The following is a 12,160-nucleotide window of genomic DNA, read 5'->3' on the forward strand; positions in this document are numbered from 1 at the left end:
GGAATAATTCAGGCTTGCTGGAAAAGATGTAATCGATAATGTCAGCCCGCTCTGTTTTCCCTGAACCAGGAGTCTCCAGATGTCAACACAGAAGTAGCTGTTCACAATTGCTCAGTTACCTGGGGCATGGTGGGCCTTGGTCTTCTTCCTCTTCTTGGTCCTTTTTAGTTCCTGCAATACATTCAGACAGGGACAGACAAAATAAGCCAATTCACCTACACCCATAACAGTCCACTGTCTAATCCCCACACAGGGATCTCAGGCTCCTCAGCATGAGAACAGGACAATGTGAGAGAGATACTTCAGGAGGCCTGAAAGCTGGTCATGATATTCTTTGGTTTGCATCTCAGAACCAAGGGTGAAATATCCCCATTCTGGTAGATCGTTATCCCAAAATCATTTATCCCAAGTTTGTGCAAACAGTTATGCCTTATTGTTCCCATCAGTTCAAAGAAAATGCCCCAGATGATTTCTAGGAGGAAAACTGCAGTATTCAGCCCTGTCTCATCAAATGCCCAGCTCGTTCATGGATGCAAGAATTTTAGACACTGAAATTAGAATGAAGGAGGAAATCTACAAACCCTTCAGTCCAAATCATACTTCTGTGAATTTTTTACATCTGCCTGGGTCCAATGTGCTGAGAGCGGGCTCAGCTTGCCACAGGCATGGCTGGAGACTAGTAATAGAGCCTTGCTCACTGACCCATTTCATGTCTAGGCTTCCAACTGAGACTACAGTTTCATTACAACCTATATGCGCCCATAGGTCCTGCCTGCGGCAATGACATCTCTCGGGTCAGTAAGGGCCACTTGGAACAGGAATATCACCCCTATCTGGAAGACCAGGTGGAGGCTTATCACCTTCACAGTAAGGTACTCACTGTCCACGTCAAGAGCCAAGCCAAGGTACTGTTCCTCCAATGAGTAAACAGCACTGCTGTAGGGCTGGCCTAAGTCAGGCAGTTCAAGATAACCTGAAGGAGTCGAATAACATCTATCCAGTGAGTCCTGCAAGACTTCAGGCTCTTTCTCATCCAGCAGCTCCCTGCTGAGCCTGGAAAAGTAGGAAAAAGTAAAGAATAAGCCAGGGGGAATCAGAAACCACACAGCCCCAGCTAGATTTCATGGCTAACATAAGGAACTGTTTAAAAAGAAAAAGGACAGATCCATTAATGAGGTAATGAATTATTGCCTTTATGTTGGGATAGACCAGGGCCAGGTAGAAAAGAATGAAAGAGAAAGACAGGGAGAGGGAGGGAGAGAGAGAGAGAGAGAGAGAGGAGAAAGTAAGCTCAGCGAGTTGGCCGGGTGACACACTGATGAAGGGGTCAAAGGACACTCTGAGTTAGTGCCCTCGGGACACACAGCGAACAGTGATCATGAAAAGAGTGGGCTCAATAATTTTCCATAAACTTGCTCAAGATTCCATGCAGTTGCCATACAGCCTTTGAGGTATGGTCAACCTATAGTAAGTTAGTAAATGATAAGGGGAGGAAGAAATGGAAACCTAAACATCTACTGCAATGAAAACCAACAGCAATATCAGGAGGAGTAATTCAACCTTCGTTGAAAACATGAAATTGAACACACTCTTGTTTTCCCTGGACCTGGCATCTCCAGGTGTCAACACAGAATTAAGCATCCATAATTGCTCAAAGTTACCTGGGGCATGATGGGTCTTGGTCTTCTTCCACTTCTTGGTACTTTTCAATTTCTGCAATAAGTTCAGACATGGACAGACATATTAAGCTGGTTCTCCTACACACATAACAATCCACTGTCTAATCCTCACACAGGGACTTCAGGCTCCTCAGCATGAGAATAGGACACTGTGAGAGATAGTCTTCAGGAGGCCTGAAGGCTGATCACCATAGAGATTCCTTGGTTTTTGTCCCAGAAACTGTGGGTAAAATTCCCTATTCTGGTAGATCGTTATCCCAATATCATTTGTCCCAAGTTTGTGCAAATGGTTATGCCATATTTTTCCAATCGATTTAAAGCAAATGCCCCCAAATGGTTGCTAGGAGAAAAACTGCACTATTCAGCCCTGTCTCATCAAATACTCAGATTGTTCACGGTAGCGAGGATTTTAGACACTGAAATTAGAGTGAAGGATGAAATCTACAAGATCTACAAAATTGAGACAAAATCAGAGTTGTGTGAATTTGTCACATCTGCCCAGGTCCAACGTCATGAGAGTAGGATTAGGGCGCCACAGGCATGGCCTGAGACTAGGAAGAGAGCCTTGCTCACTGACCCATCCCTTGTCTGGGCTTCCAAGTGGAACTAGAGTTTCATTCAACCTACATGTGCCTATAGGACCTCCCTGTGGCAATGACATCTCTCAGCTCAGTAAGGGCCACTTGCAGTAGGAATATGACCCTAACCAGAAGACTCAGTGGATCCTTATCACCTTCATAGAAAGGTACTCACCATCCATGTCAACAGCCAAGCCAACACGCTGTTGCTCCAATACGTAAAAGGCACTTCTGTAGGGCTGGCATGAGTCAGTCAGTTCAAGACAACCTGAAGGAGTTGAATAACATCTATCCAGTGAGTCCTGCAAGACTTCAGGCCCTTTCTCATCCAGCAGCTCCCTGCTGAGCCTGGAAAAGTGGGAAAAAGTAAAGAATAAGCCAGGGGGAATCAGAAACCACACAGCCCCAGCTAGATTTCATGGCTAACGTAAGGAAGAGTTTGAAAAGAAAAAGGACAGATCCATTAATGAGGTAACAAATTATTGCCTTTATGTTGGGATAGAACAGGGCCAGGTAGAAAACAATGAAAGAGAAAGACAGAGAGAGAGAGAGAGACAGAGACAGAGAGAGAGAGACAGAGACAGAGACAGAGAGAAAGTGACCTAGTGAATTGGCCAGGTGACATACTGGTAAGGGAGTAAAAGGACACTCTGAGTTAGTGCCCTCATGACACACAGCAAACTGTGATCATGAAAAGAGTGAGCTCAATAGTTTTCCATAAAATATGCTCAAAATTCGATGCAGTGGCCATGAGAGTACAGCTTTTGAAGTATGGTCAACCTATGGTACGTTAGGAAATGATAAGGGGAGGAAGAAATGGAAACCTAAACATCTACTGCAATGAAAACCAACAGCAATGACAGTAGGAGTAATTCAGCCTTCGTTGAAAACATGACATCAAACACACTCTGGTTTCCCTGAATCTGTTGCCTCCAGGTGTTAACACAGAATTAAGCATCCACAATTGCTGAAAGTCACCTGGGGCATGGTGGGTTTTGATCTTCTTCCCCTTCTTTTCTTCCCCTTCTTCTTTCCTTCTTTGATCTTCTTCCCCTTCTTTTCTTCCCCTTCCCCTTCTTTTCAATTTCTGCAATAAATTCAGACATGGACAGACACATTAAGCTGATTCCCCTACACACATAACAATCCACTGTCTAATCCTCACGCAGGGACCTCAGGCTCCTCAGCATAAGAATAGGACACCGTGAGAGATATATTTCAGGAGGCCTGAAGGCTGGTCATGATAGAAATTCCTCGGTTTTTCTCCCAGAAACTGTGGGTAAAATGTCCCTATTCTAGTAGATCGTTATCCCAATATCATTTGTCCCAAGTTTGTGCAAACAGTTATGCCATATTTTTCCAATCAACTTAAAGCAAATACCCTCAAATGATTTCTAGGAGAAAAACTGCAATATTTAGCCCTGTCTCATCAAATACTCAGATTGTTCATGGTTGTGAGGACTTTAGACACTGAAATTAGAGTGAAAAAGGAAATCTACAAACCCTTGAGTCAAAATCATAGTTCTCTGAATTTGTCACATCTGCCCAGGTCCAATGTCATGAGGATAGGATCAGGGCGCCACAGGTATGGCCTGAGACTAGGAAGAGAGTCTTGCTCACTGACCCATCCCTTGCCTGGGCTTCCAGGTAGAACTAGAGTTTCATTCAACCTACATGTGCCTATAGGTCCTCCCTGTGGCAATGACATCTCTCAGCTCAGTAATGGCCACTTGGAGCAGGAATATGATCTTTATATGGAAGACTCAGTGGATCCTTATCACCTTCATAGAAAGGTACTCACCTCCCACGTCGAGAGAAAAGCCAACATGTTTTTCCTCCAATGCATAAAAGGAACTTCCATAGGGCTGGCAGGAGTCAGGCTGTTCAAGACAACTGGAAGGAGTTGAATAACATCTATCCAGTGAGTCCTGCAAGACTTCAGGCTCTACTACCTCCAGCAGCTCCCTGCTGAGCCTGGAAAAGGAGGAAAAAGTAAAGAATAAGCCAGGGGAAATCAGACACAACAGAGCCCCAACTAGGTTTCATGGGTAGCATAGGGAAGTGGTTAAAAAACTAAAAGGATAGATCCATTAATGAGGTAACAAATTATTGCCTTCATGTTGGGACAGAACAGGGCCAAATGGAAAAGAATGAAAGAGAAAGACAGATAGACACACACACACACACACACACACACACACACACACACACACAGACACACACACACACACAGAGAGAACGAGCTCAGTGAATTGTCCAGGTGACACACTGATGAGGGAGTAACAGGACACTCTGAGTTAGTGCCCTCAGGACACACAGCATACAGGGATCATGAAAAGACTGTGCTCAATAATTTTCCATAAAATGTGCTCAAGTTTCCATGCAGTCGCCATGAGAATACAGTTTTTGAAGTCTGGTCCACCTACAGTAGGTTAGTAAATGATAAGGGGAGGAAGAAATGGAAACCTAAATATCTACTGCAATGAAAACCAACAGCAATGTTAGTAGGAATAATTCAGGCTTGCTGGAAAAGATGTAATCGATAATGTCAGCCCGCTCTGTTTTCCCTGAACCAGGAGTCTCCAGATGTCAACACAGAAGTAGCTGTTCACAATTGCTCAGTTACCTGGGGCATGGTGGGCCTTGGTCTTCTTCCTCTTCTTGGTCCTTTTTAGTTCCTGCAATACATTCAGACAGGGACAGACAAAATAAGCCAATTCACCTACACCCATAACAGTCCACTGTCTAATCCCCACACAGGGATCTCAGGCTCCTCAGCATGAGAACAGGACAATGTGAGAGAGATACTTCAGGAGGCCTGAAAGCTGGTCATGATATTCTTTGGTTTGCATCTCAGAACCAAGGGTGAAATATCCCCATTCTGGTAGATCGTTATCCCAAAATCATTTATCCCAAGTTTGTGCAAACAGTTATGCCTTATTGTTCCCATCAGTTCAAAGAAAATGCCCCAGATGATTTCTAGGAGGAAAACTGCAGTATTCAGCCCTGTCTCATCAAATGCCCAGCTCGTTCATGGATGCAAGAATTTTAGACACTGAAATTAGAATGAAGGAGGAAATCTACAAACCCTTCAGTCCAAATCATACTTCTGTGAATTTTTTACATCTGCCTGGGTCCAATGTGCTGAGAGCGGGCTCAGCTTGCCACAGGCATGGCTGGAGACTAGTAATAGAGCCTTGCTCACTGACCCATTTCATGTCTAGGCTTCCAACTGAGACTACAGTTTCATTACAACCTATATGCGCCCATAGGTCCTGCCTGCGGCAATGACATCTCTCGGGTCAGTAAGGGCCACTTGGAACAGGAATATCACCCCTATCTGGAAGACCAGGTGGAGGCTTATCACCTTCACAGTAAGGTACTCACTGTCCACGTCAAGAGCCAAGCCAAGGTACTGTTCCTCCAATGAGTAAACAGCACTGCTGTAGGGCTGGCCTAAGTCAGGCAGTTCAAGATAACCTGAAGGAGTCGAATAACATCTATCCAGTGAGTCCTGCAAGACTTCAGGCTCTTTCTCATCCAGCAGCTCCCTGCTGAGCCTGGAAAAGTAGGAAAAAGTAAAGAATAAGCCAGGGGGAATCAGAAACCACACAGCCCCAGCTAGATTTCATGGCTAACATAAGGAACTGTTTAAAAAGAAAAAGGACAGATCCATTAATGAGGTAATGAATTATTGCCTTTATGTTGGGATAGACCAGGGCCAGGTAGAAAAGAATGAAAGAGAAAGACAGGGAGAGGGAGGGAGAGAGAGAGAGAGAGAGAGAGGAGAAAGTAAGCTCAGCGAGTTGGCCGGGTGACACACTGATGAAGGGGTCAAAGGACACTCTGAGTTAGTGCCCTCGGGACACACAGCGAACAGTGATCATGAAAAGAGTGGGCTCAATAATTTTCCATAAACTTGCTCAAGATTCCATGCAGTTGCCATACAGCCTTTGAGGTATGGTCAACCTATAGTAAGTTAGTAAATGATAAGGGGAGGAAGAAATGGAAACCTAAACATCTACTGCAATGAAAACCAACAGCAATATCAGGAGGAGTAATTCAACCTTCGTTGAAAACATGAAATTGAACACACTCTTGTTTTCCCTGGACCTGGCATCTCCAGGTGTCAACACAGAATTAAGCATCCATAATTGCTCAAAGTTACCTGGGGCATGATGGGTCTTGGTCTTCTTCCACTTCTTGGTACTTTTCAATTTCTGCAATAAGTTCAGACATGGACAGACATATTAAGCTGGTTCTCCTACACACATAACAATCCACTGTCTAATCCTCACACAGGGACTTCAGGCTCCTCAGCATGAGAATAGGACACTGTGAGAGATAGTCTTCAGGAGGCCTGAAGGCTGATCACCATAGAGATTCCTTGGTTTTTGTCCCAGAAACTGTGGGTAAAATTCCCTATTCTGGTAGATCGTTATCCCAATATCATTTGTCCCAAGTTTGTGCAAATGGTTATGCCATATTTTTCCAATCGATTTAAAGCAAATGCCCCCAAATGGTTGCTAGGAGAAAAACTGCACTATTCAGCCCTGTCTCATCAAATACTCAGATTGTTCACGGTAGCGAGGATTTTAGACGCTGAAATTAGAGTGAAGGATGAAATCTACAAGATCTACAAAATTGAGACAAAATCAGAGTTGTGTGAATTTGTCACATCTGCCCAGGTCCAACGTCATGAGAGTAGGATTAGGGCGCCACAGGCATGGCCTGAGACTAGGAAGAGAGCCTTGCTCACTGACCCATCCCTTGTCTGGGCTTCCAAGTGGAACTAGAGTTTCATTCAACCTACATGTGCCTATAGGACCTCCCTGTGGCAATGACATCTCTCAGCTCAGTAAGGGCCACTTGCAGTAGGAATATGACCCTAACCAGAAGACTCAGTGGATCCTTATCACCTTCATAGAAAGGTACTCACCATCCATGTCAACAGCCAAGCCAACACGCTGTTGCTCCAATACGTAAAAGGCACTTCTGTAGGGCTGGCATGAGTCAGTCAGTTCAAGACAACCTGAAGGAGTTGAATAACATCTATCCAGTGAGTCCTGCAAGACTTCAGGCCCTTTCTCATCCAGCAGCTCCCTGCTGAGCCTGGAAAAGTGGGAAAAAGTAAAGAATAAGCCAGGGGGAATCAGAAACCACACAGCCCCAGCTAGATTTCATGGCTAACGTAAGGAAGAGTTTGAAAAGAAAAAGGACAGATCCATTAATGAGGTAACAAATTATTGCCTTTATGTTGGGATAGAACAGGGCCAGGTAGAAAACAATGAAAGAGAAAGACAGAGAGAGAGAGAGAGACAGAGACAGAGAGAGAGACAGAGACAGAGACAGAGAGAAAGTGACCTAGTGAATTGGCCAGGTGACATACTGGTAAGGGAGTAAAAGGACACTCTGAGTTAGTGCCCTCATGACACACAGCAAACTGTGATCATGAAAAGAGTGAGCTCAATAGTTTTCCATAAAATATGCTCAAAATTCGATGCAGTGGCCATGAGAGTACAGCTTTTGAAGTATGGTCAACCTATGGTACGTTAGGAAATGATAAGGGGAGGAAGAAATGGAAACCTAAACATCTACTGCAATGAAAACCAACAGCAATGACAGTAGGAGTAATTCAGCCTTCGTTGAAAACATGACATCAAACACACTCTGGTTTCCCTGAATCTGTTGCCTCCAGGTGTTAACACAGAATTAAGCATCCACAATTGCTGAAAGTCACCTGGGGCATGGTGGGTTTTGATCTTCTTCCCCTTCTTTTCTTCCCCTTCTTCTTTCCTTCTTTGATCTTCTTCCCCTTCTTTTCTTCCCCTTCCCCTTCTTTTCAATTTCTGCAATAAATTCAGACATGGACAGACACATTAAGCTGATTCCCCTACACACATAACAATCCACTGTCTAATCCTCACACAGGGACCTCAGGCTCCTCAGCATAAGAATAGGACACCGTGAGAGATATATTTCAGGAGGCCTGAAGGCTGGTCATGATAGAAATTCCTCGGTTTTTCTCCCAGAAACTGTGGGTAAAATGTCCCTATTCTAGTAGATCGTTATCCCAATATCATTTGTCCCAAGTTTGTGCAAACAGTTATGCCATATTTTTCCAATCAACTTAAAGCAAATACCCTCAAATGATTTCTAGGAGAAAAACTGCAATATTTAGCCCTGTCTCATCAAATACTCAGATTGTTCATGGTTGTGAGGACTTTAGACACTGAAATTAGAGTGAAAAAGGAAATCTACAAACCCTTGAGTCAAAATCATAGTTCTCTGAATTTGTCACATCTGCCCAGGTCCAATGTCATGAGGATAGGATCAGGCCGCCACAGGTATGGCCTGAGACTAGGAAGAGAGTCTTGCTCACTGACCCATCCCTTGCCTGGGCTTCCAGGTAGAACTAGAGTTTCATTCAACCTACATGTGCCTATAGGTCCTCCCTGTGGCAATGACATCTCTCAGCTCAGTAATGGCCACTTGGAGCAGGAATATGATCTTTATATGGAAGACTCAGTGGATCCTTATCACCTTCATAGAAAGGTACTCACCTCCCACGTCGAGAGAAAAGCCAACATGTTTTTCCTCCAATGCATAAAAGGAACTTCCATAGGGCTGGCAGGAGTCAGGCTGTTCAAGACAACTGGAAGGAGTTGAATAACATCTATCCAGTGAGTCCTGCAAGACTTCAGGCTCTACTACCTCCAGCAGCTCCCTGCTGAGCCTGGAAAAGGAGGAAAAAGTAAAGAATAAGCCAGGGGAAATCAGACACAACAGAGCCCCAACTAGGTTTCATGGGTAGCATAGGGAAGTGGTTAAAAAACTAAAAGGATAGATCCATTAATGAGGTAACAAATTATTGCCTTCATGTTGGGACAGAACAGGGCCAAATGGAAAAGAATGAAAGAGAAAGACAGATAGACACACACACACACACACACACACACACACACACACACACAGAGAGAGAGAGAACGAGCTCAGTGAATTGTCCAGGTGACACACTGATGAGGGAGTAACAGGACACTCTGAGTTAGTGCCCTCAGGACACACAGCATACAGGGATCATGAAAAGACTGTGCTCAATAATTTTCCATAAAATGTGCTCAAGTTTCCATGCAGTCGCCATGAGAATACAGTTTTTGAAGTCTGGTCCACCTACAGTAGGTTAGTAAATGATAAGGGGAGGAAGAAATGGAAACCTAAATATCTACTGCAATGAAAACCAACAGCAATGTTAGTAGGAATAATTCAGGCTTGCTGGAAAAGATGTAATCGATAATGTCAGCCCGCTCTGTTTTCCCTGAACCAGGAGTCTCCAGATGTCAACACAGAAGTAGCTGTTCACAATTGCTCAGTTACCTGGGGCATGGTGGGCCTTGGTCTTCTTCCTCTTCTTGGTCCTTTTTAGTTCCTGCAATACATTCAGACAGGGACAGACAAAATAAGCCAATTCACCTACACCCATAACAGTCCACTGTCTAATCCCCACACAGGGATCTCAGGCTCCTCAGCATGAGAACAGGACAATGTGAGAGAGATACTTCAGGAGGCCTGAAAGCTGGTCATGATATTCTTTGGTTTGCATCTCAGAACCAAGGGTGAAATATCCCCATTCTGGTAGATCGTTATCCCAAAATCATTTATCCCAAGTTTGTGCAAACAGTTATGCCTTATTGTTCCCATCAGTTCAAAGAAAATGCCCCAGATGATTTCTAGGAGGAAAACTGCAGTATTCAGCCCTGTCTCATCAAATGCCCAGCTCGTTCATGGATGCAAGAATTTTAGACACTGAAATTAGAATGAAGGAGGAAATCTACAAACCCTTGAGTCCAAATCATACTTCTGTGAATTTTTTACATCTGCCTGGGTCCAATGTGCTGAGAGCGGGCTCAGCTTGCCACAGGCATGGCTGGAGACTAGGAATAGAGCCTTGCTCACTGACCCATTTCATGTCTAGGCTTCCAACTGAGACTACAGTTTCATTACAACCTATATGCGCCCATAGGTCCTGCCTGCGGCAATGACATCTCTCGGGTCAGTAAGGGCCACTTGGAACAGGAATATCACCCCTATCTGGAAGACCAGGTGGAGGCTTATCACCTTCACAGTAAGGTACTCACTGTCCACGTCAAGAGCCAAGCCAAGGTACTGTTCCTCCAATGAGTAAACAGCACTGCTGTAGGGCTGGCCTAAGTCAGGCAGTTCAAGATAACCTGAAGGAGTCGAATAACATCTATCCAGTGAGTCCTGCAAGACTTCAGGCTCTTTCTCATCCAGCAGCTCCCTGCTGAGCCTGGAAAGTAGGAAAAAGTAAAGAATAAGCCAGGGGGAATCAGAAACCACACAGCCCCAGCTAGATTTCATGGCTAACATAAGGAACTGTTTAAAAAGAAAAAGGACAGATCCATTAATGAGGTAATGAATTATTGCCTTTATGTTGGGATAGACCAGGGCCAGGTAGAAAAGAATGAAAGAGAAAGACAGGGAGAGGGAGGGAGAGAGAGAGAGAGAGAGAGAGGAGAAAGTAAGCTCAGCGAGTTGGCCGGGTGACACACTGATGAAGGGGTCAAAGGACACTCTGAGTTAGTGCCCTCGGGACACACAGCGAACAGTGATCATGAAAAGAGTGGGCTCAATAATTTTCCATAAACTTGCTCAAGATTCCATGCAGTTGCCATACAGCCTTTGAGGTATGGTCAACCTATAGTAAGTTAGTAAATGATAAGGGGAGGAAGAAATGGAAACCTAAACATCTACTGCAATGAAAACCAACAGCAATATCAGGAGGAGTAATTCAACCTTCGTTGAAAACATGAAATTGAACACACTCTTGTTTTCCCTGGACCTGGCATCTCCAGGTGTCAACACAGAATTAAGCATCCATAATTGCTCAAAGTTACCTGGGGCATGATGGGTCTTGGTCTTCTTCCACTTCTTGGTACTTTTCAATTTCTGCAATAAGTTCAGACATGGACAGACATATTAAGCTGGTTCTCCTACACACATAACAATCCACTGTCTAATCCTCACACAGGGACTTCAGGCTCCTCAGCATGAGAATAGGACACTGTGAGAGATAGTCTTCAGGAGGCCTGAAGGCTGATCACCATAGAGATTCCTTGGTTTTTGTCCCAGAAACTGTGGGTAAAATTCCCTATTCTGGTAGATCGTTATCCCAATATCATTTGTCCCAAGTTTGTGCAAATGGTTATGCCATATTTTTCCAATCGATTTAAAGCAAATGCCCCCAAATGGTTGCTAGGAGAAAAACTGCACTATTCAGCCCTGTCTCATCAAATACTCAGATTGTTCACGGTAGCGAGGATTTTAGACGCTGAAATTAGAGTGAAGGATGAAATCTACAAGATCTACAAAATTGAGACAAAATCAGAGTTGTGTGAATTTGTCACATCTGCCCAGGTCCAACGTCATGAGAGTAGGATTAGGGCGCCACAGGCATGGCCTGAGACTAGGAAGAGAGCCTTGCTCACTGACCCATCCCTTGTCTGGGCTTCCAAGTGGAACTAGAGTTTCATTCAACCTACATGTGCCTATAGGACCTCCCTGTGGCAATGACATCTCTCAGCTCAGTAAGGGCCACTTGCAGTAGGAATATGACCCTAACCAGAAGACTCAGTGGATCCTTATCACCTTCATAGAAAGGTACTCACCATCCATGTCAACAGCCAAGCCAACACGCTGTTGCTCCAATACGTAAAAGGCACTTCTGTAGGGCTGGCATGAGTCAGTCAGTTCAAGACAACCTGAAGGAGTTGAATAACTTCTATCCAGTGAGTCCTGCAAGACTTCAGGCCCTTTCTCATCCAGCAGCTCCCTGCTGAGCCTGGAAAAGTGGGAAAAAGTAAAGAATAAGCCAGGGGGAATCAG

The 12,160-nt window shown here is 44.4% G+C and overlaps 1 protein-coding gene across 3 annotated transcripts in view; it reads right to left on the reverse strand.

Moving 5' to 3' along the window:
- Positions 1–12,160, reverse strand: part of NBPF20 (NBPF member 20) — a 135,704-nt gene that overhangs the window by 57,959 nt on the left and 65,585 nt on the right. For 2 of the 3 annotated variants that reach the window (NM_001278267.1, NM_001397211.1), the window contains 16 exons: positions 11,944–12,116; positions 11,173–11,224; positions 10,393–10,565; positions 9,632–9,683; positions 8,821–8,993; positions 7,998–8,106; positions 7,197–7,369; positions 6,426–6,477; positions 5,645–5,817; positions 4,884–4,935; positions 4,059–4,231; positions 3,236–3,344; positions 2,433–2,605; positions 1,662–1,713; positions 881–1,053; positions 120–171 (listed from right to left, as the gene is read on the reverse strand). In NM_001278267.1, the coding sequence (NP_001265196.1) occupies positions 120–171; positions 881–1,053; positions 1,662–1,713; positions 2,433–2,605; positions 3,236–3,344; positions 4,059–4,231; positions 4,884–4,935; positions 5,645–5,817; positions 6,426–6,477; positions 7,197–7,369; positions 7,998–8,106; positions 8,821–8,993; positions 9,632–9,683; positions 10,393–10,565; positions 11,173–11,224; positions 11,944–12,116 (1,914 nt within the window). The remainder of the gene's footprint in view (positions 1–119; positions 172–880; positions 1,054–1,661; positions 1,714–2,432; positions 2,606–3,235; positions 3,345–4,058; positions 4,232–4,883; positions 4,936–5,644; positions 5,818–6,425; positions 6,478–7,196; positions 7,370–7,997; positions 8,107–8,820; positions 8,994–9,631; positions 9,684–10,392; positions 10,566–11,172; positions 11,225–11,943; positions 12,117–12,160) is intronic. The other variant, XM_047446015.1, reaches the window with a different exon arrangement.

This window comes from Homo sapiens, chromosome 1, assembly GCF_000001405.40.
Source record: "Homo sapiens chromosome 1, GRCh38.p14 Primary Assembly".
Lineage (NCBI taxonomy): Eukaryota > Metazoa > Chordata > Mammalia > Primates > Hominidae > Homo > Homo sapiens.